General features: G+C 44.4%; 1 pseudogene; it reads right to left on the bottom strand.

The window, feature by feature from the left end:
* On the bottom strand, nt 323–1,350 carry GAPDHP67 (glyceraldehyde 3 phosphate dehydrogenase pseudogene 67; annotated as a pseudogene).

Genomic DNA, 6,800 nt, shown 5'->3' with positions numbered 1-6,800 from the left:
AATTTTAAATACATGAGGCTAATATGCCAGAATATTCACAGTCATTAGTCCTGGATAATGGGAACATAAGTATGATGTTACTTTCTGTAGTTTTCTCTATTTTTATAATTTTTCCCAAAACCTCAACAACTATACATTTTAAAATGCAATAGAAAAATCTTAATGTATGGCCTTATACTTTTCTGTACCTATGGTTCCAGACATTTTTGCTGGTACAACTGGAATTCTCATTGTAGAACTTAGGAAGTCTTGTAAATCTCATGGAGTTACATTTCTTAAGAATTCTTGAGATCAGATTTTTGGGGGGTGCTGAGTACAGGAGACTTTATTGATGGTACATGACAAGGTGAGGATCTCTAGGCCCCTCCCATTCTTCAGGGGGTCTGGCATGAAAATGTGTTAAGGAGGGGAGAATTTCAGTGAGGTGGGGGACTGAGTGGGGCAGGGACTCCCCAACAGCTGAGAGTCCAGTCTCTCTCTTCCTCTCGTGCTCTTGCTGGGGCTGGCAGTCTAGGGGGTCTTACTCCTTGGAGGCTATGTGGACCATGAGGTCCACCACCCTGTTGCTGCAGCCAAATTCATTGTCATAGCAGGAAATGAGCTTGACAAAGTGGTCGTTCAAGGTGACGCCAACCCCAGCATCGAAAATTGAATATTGAGTGTTGCTGTTAAAGTCAAAAGATACAACCTGGTGCTCATTGTAGCCCAGGATGCCCTTGAGGGGGCCCTCCTGAAGGCAGGTGAAGATGCCTGCCTCACCACTTTCTTGATGTCATCATATTTGCCAGGTCTTTCCAGAAGGCAGGTCAGGTGATGATCTTGGCCGGGGGGCTAATCATCTTGTGGTGCAGGAGGCATTGCTGATGATCTTGAGGCTGTTTGGGTACTTCTCATGGTTTATGTCCATCACAAACTTGGGGCCATCAGCAGAGGGGGCAGAGATGATGACCCTTTTGGCTCCCCCCACCCCCTGAAAATGAGTCCTAGCCTTCCCCATGGCAGTGAAGACACCAGTGGACTCCACAACATAATCAATGCCGGAATCACCCCATTTGATTTTGGTAGGATCTCGCTCCTGGGAGATGGCAATGGGATTTCCATTGATAACAAACTTCCCATTCTCAGCCTTAATGGTGCCATGGAACTTGCCATAGGTGGAATGAGAAGGGAACATGTAGACCATGTAGTTGAGGTCAATGATGGGGTCATTGGTGGTGACAATATACACTTTGCCAGAGTTAAAAGCAGCCTTGGTGACCAGGAACCCAATACAGCCAACTCGTTTACTCTGGCCTTCATTTTCACCATGGTGTCTCAGGGACATGGACAGCGCTGCACAAGAAGATGCAGTGGATCAGTTCTAGTGTCCAAGAGGAATAGAAAAACATGAATCAGTGGGGGGAAGCAGGGAGAGAGGAGAGAGGAAGAATATGAGTAGGGGAGAGACTTTGGAAACAACACTTCCAAAGCTTTAGTGTAAAAGGAAAGAGAAAAAATGGGGCAGTTCTTAGAGAGGGAAGTGGGTCAAGAGATACGTTTGTTCACTGATGAAAATGATCTGGTAGAGCAGGAAAAATTAATGATTTAGAAGACAGGAGAAATGTTATAGCCATAATCTTGAGTAGGTGAGAGGGGTGGGAATCTAGTAGACAAGTGGAAGAGTTGCCCCTAGATGGGAGACACCTCTTCCATTGTAACATATTTGGTTGTAGGAGCTTTGAGAAGTCCTTTTAATCTTCCGATTGCTTCTATTCTCTCAATAAAATAGGAAATGAGATCATCTGCATAGAATGAGGATGGGAGAGGGAGTGTTGGCACTTTGAAGAGAGAGGAATAGATGTAACAGTCTTTTAGGAGACTTGGAGAAGGAATATCTAGGGAACTAGTTTGGTTGCCAGGCACGCAGCTCTAAGGACTCACTTGTGGCTAGCAGTCATTAATTTAAAGTGAGACCAGTCATCAGCCATCGTGGTTTTGTATTTTCCCTCAGCCACATGTCAGTTGCAGGTGCAGAGCAGGCAGAGAGTTGAATCGAAACAGGTTCGGGATTTTGTCAAGTGAGTATGCAGATGTGAGGAGGGTGAGGAGCTGGAATGTATGCAAGAGAGTGATTACAGTGACTAAGCATCGAAGGAAAGCTCAGTAAGTTGGGGAGAGAGGACATCAAGTGGGTGGGGGACAGTGAAAACAAAGGAAGATCTATGGATTGGACGTCTCATGCAGGCAAAGATAGTTAGAGTCACTAGTGGGAGCGAGCTGGACAGGGAGAAGATGGTAGTCTCCTATCTAGCCTTGCAATGAGACATTGAAAGTTTTGGTAGAAAAATTGGTAATGGTCAGGTCTAGGGTATGATCATGGAAGTGAGTGGCTGAGGTGGGTCAGGGTGGACAAGATCACTGAAAGAGAGGAAGTCAAGGAACGAAGAGGCCACAGGTGGAAGGGTCTTCCTCATGGATACTGAGGTGGCAGTGGTAATATTAGCAGAGATTGTATTTGTGGCAGTAGCAGCAGCCGATGTAGCTGTTATGGTTGTCATTGTGAGGAAGGAGACAAATAGAACTCTATGAAGAATGCAAACATCCGACAGGCATGATGGCTCACACCTGTAGTCTCAGCACTTTGCGAGGCTGAGGAGAGGGAACACGAGGTCAGGAGTTCAAGACCAGCCTGGCCAACATAGTGAAACCCCATCTCTACTAAAAATACAAAAATTAGCCAGACATGGTGGTGGGTGCCTGTAATCCCAGCTATTTGGGAGGCAGGAGAATTGCTTGAACCCAGGAGACAAAGATTGTAGTGAGCGGAGATCACGGCACTGCACTCCAGCCTGGGCAACAAGAGTGAAACTCCATCTCAAAAAAAAAAAAGAAAAAAGAATGCAAACGTCTTCCCTACAGAGAGGTCTTCTCTGCCATCCTGGTTAAAGGAGCCCTTCTCACACTCTGTCACTCCCCTGCCCTATCACTACTTATCCTATTACCCTGTTTTATTTTCTTTTTTTTTTTTTTTTTTTTTTTTTTTTTTTTTTGAGACGGAGTCTCGCTCTGTCGCCCAGGCTGGAGTGCAGTGGCGGGATCTCGGCTCACTGCAAGCTCCGCCTCCCGGGTTCACGCCATTCTCCTGCCTCAGCCTCCCAAGTAGCTGGGACTACAGGCGCCCGCCACTACGCCCGGCTAATTTTTTTGTATTTTTAGTAGAGACGGGGTTTCACCATTTTTTAGCCGGGATGGTCTCGATCTCCTGACCTCGTGATCCGCCCGCCTCGGCCTCCCAAAGTGCTGGGATTACAGGCGTGAGCCACCGCGCCCGGCCCTGTTTTATTTTCTTGAATGCACTCATTGCTGTCAGAAAAATGGCACGTTTATTTATTGTTTTCCTTATCTGTGTCTTCCACTAGATTGTAAACTCCATGAATTTGCCTTTTTCAATGCTTCATTCTCAGGGCCCATATGGTGCACTTAATAGTAGCCAGTTGAAAATGATGAAAAAAGAATGATGGAGTTTTATCATGCATGTGCTGGATTCCTAGCACATAGTAGGACTCCTTATGGGAACTTTGGAAAGTTGAGGGAATGGAATGCATTTAGGAAAGAGTGTGCCTGTGTCAAGTAGGAGCGTGTTAGGTGTTACACGTTGATTGAACATAAAATTCTCTGGAATGACTTCCCCTGCGCAGCCCACTGAGGATCTGATCTTAGTTTCCAGGCAAAGAACCTGTAGCAGGCCTTTCTGTGTGTTACAGTGCCTGCTCCACCCTTATCCTCTCCATACTTCTTTTTAAATTTTGTTTCTTAGAGATTCATCTTAGGTTAATAGCCACAAGAAGCTGTCACACATTTATGTATCAATTTCTGGACCAGGTGTGGTGGCCCACGCCTGTAATCCTAGCATTTTGGGAGGCTGAGGCAGGTGGATCACTTGACGTCAGGAGTTCAAAACCAGCCTGGCCAACATGGTGAAACCCTGTCTCTACTAAAAATACAAAAAATTAGCCTGGCATGGTGGCGGGAGCCTGTAATCCCAGCTACTCACGAGGTTGAAGCAGGAGAATCACTTGAACCTGGGAGGCGGAGGTTGCAGTGAGCCAAGATCGTGCCACTGCACTCCAGCCTGGGCAGCAAGGTGAGACTCTGTCTAAAATAAAATAAAATAAAATAAAATAATTTCTGAACAGAAGGGCTCCTGATTAAGAGGAAGAGCAAGTAGTTGATCTGAAGAAGAGTGCTGTGGTGGGGGTTGTATAGAGTTACATGAGGTCACTAAGGGACCTGGGAACACAGGGTGTATTGATCTGTTTTCATGCTGCTGAAAAAGACATACCTGAGACTAGGCAATTTACAAAAGAAAGGTTTAATGGACTTACAGTTCCATGTGGTTGGGGAGGCCTCAATCATGGCAGAAGGTGAAAGGCATGTCTCACATTGCGGCAGACAAGAGAAGAGCTTGTGCAGGGAAACTCCTCTTTTTAAAACCGTTGGATCTCATGAGACTTATTTGCTATCACGAGAACAGCACGGGAAAGACCTGCTACCATGACTCAATTACCTCCCACCAAGTCCCTCCCACAACACGTGGGAATTCAAGATGAGATTTGGGTGGGGACACAGCCAAACCATATCACAGGGTATTGGGAGAGCTGGGAAAGGAGGATAGGGATGAGATGTAGGAGCATACCAAAGACAAAATTACTTTGTTGTCAAATTTTGACTAGAAAAAGAAGAGGGATTCCACCCCTTCTTCCCCGAGTCTTGCCCTGTCTCCTTTATTCAGCTACACTGCTGGATGCCTGCCTGGTTCCCAACCTTTAAGGTTTTTAGTCTCTAAATTCAGTAGTGTTGGACAAGCGCTCTGATATCTGCAGAGGCAGGACAAAGGTTGAAGGAGTCCTCTGCTAGGAGGTGGAAGGGACAATCAAAGTTTAGTAGCCTGAGCTGGCCCTGGAAGAGCAAGTAGGAGCTCTTCAACCAGACTAAGTTAGAGAAGGGCGGCATTCTGGGCAGAAGGAATATTGTATATAAAGGATTTAGAGTCAGAAAACAGTAGGGCTCTTTGAAGAACTACAGATTGTGTTGTAAGTGAATGACACGTAAGGTTTGTAATGGGTGAATGATAATCATTGATGAATGGCAGATCACGTTGACAGCTAGGCAGGGCCAGAATCTGTAGGATCTTACATGTCTTGCAATAAGTTTTGACTTTGTCCTTGGAACCCAGTTGGGGCTCCCCTCCACCCCGATTCCTCATGACAGGGAAATATGTAGTATTGTGCATTGTAAGATTTCAAAACCTTGCTAGTGAGAGGCCTGCTTAACATTGTTTAATCCAGTTCAATTTATGTAGGGGAGGTTTTTGAAATTTTTTGTTTAATTTTGAAGGTACTCTTTTGCCAGTTTGAGAAATGCTACTGCAGACAATAGGAAGCTACTGAACTTTTAGGAAGACAGAGAAATGATCATATCTGGTTGCATATAGACTTGAATGAGGGAGACTAGGTCTCAGGACGTGAATCAAGGAAAAGCCAATGGAAATACGGCATGGTGAAGTGGATTTGAGAAGGGTAGTAATGATAAGCTTTAGTGGCCAGTTGGATATAGAAGGTGTGAGACAGGAAAAGGTCTAGGGTGACTTCTAAATTCCTGGCATGGCTTTTTAGGCAAATCATACTCATTAAAGGAGTAGAGGGAATTGGTGGTGGCTAGGGGGTGGGGTAGATTTTTTGGAAGAAAGAAAAAATGAGCCTATTGAATTTTAGCTGTCCGCAAACATGTATAATAGATCATTGAATCTGTGGATCTGGAGCACATGAGAGATCAGTGCTGAAAATATGAATTCATAGTTGCCATGGTAGATGGTCCAGTAGTGCCACCCCTGATGAGACTTTTACAAAGAAAAGAGCCTGAGGAATATTAATCATTAAAAAGCAGGCAGAGGAAATGGAGGCCTGGTCACCTGGCTACCAACCTGCTAGTCCCCATGAATAATATATAGTACTATTAATGCTTGATTGTACATAGTACATACATAAGCCTTATAGTACTAAACAGCTTACAGTACATGCATATAAGCAAGTATTAGCAATCTCCTAATCAACTGTAATACATCAATATTACACTTACATACAAAACCAACTCCATACGAATATTCACCAGTATTCAAAATCTTTAACATTGCATGGTACATTTGTTCGTTCACTGGACATAGCACATTTTAGTCAAATCTATCCTTGCCAACATGGATATCCCCTTCCATATTTTGATCTCTTAATCTACCAACTTCCGAGAAACCATCATCCCGCTAAGGCATGTTACCCTCCTCACTCCATGTACTATGTACTATGTAGTTCACGTACTATGAGGGAGACTAGGTCTCAGGACGTGAATCAAGTAAAAGCTGATGGAAATACGGCATGGTGAGGTGGATTTGAGAAGGGTAGTAATGATAAGCTTTAGTGGCCAGTTGGATATAGAAGATGTGAGATAGGAAGAGGTCTAGGGTGACTTCGGAATTCCTGACATGGCTTTTTAGGCAAATCATACTCATTAAAGGAGTAGAGGGAATTGGTGGAATTCCCCAGTTCCAGAGGGAATTGCCTCAACAGTAGGCTAGTGTAATGAGTGTGAACTGCAGCTCAGCAGAATTGTGGGAGGTAAAATGGGCATTTGTGGGCCATCTTAGGAACCTAGACACTGTTTTCCTGATGAAAAAGAAGTGTATTTCAATTACTTTTGGGACAAGAACTGGTTTTTATTTTATTTTATTTATTCGGATGTTGATAGGAATTATGTCAAATCCGTAGATC

This window comes from Homo sapiens, chromosome X (assembly GCF_000001405.40).
Source record: "Homo sapiens chromosome X, GRCh38.p14 Primary Assembly".
In the NCBI taxonomy this organism is placed as follows: Eukaryota; Metazoa; Chordata; class Mammalia; order Primates; family Hominidae; genus Homo; species Homo sapiens.
The sequence above is the reverse complement of the archived record's forward strand: the minus strand, read 5'-3'. Positions and strand labels throughout refer to the sequence as shown.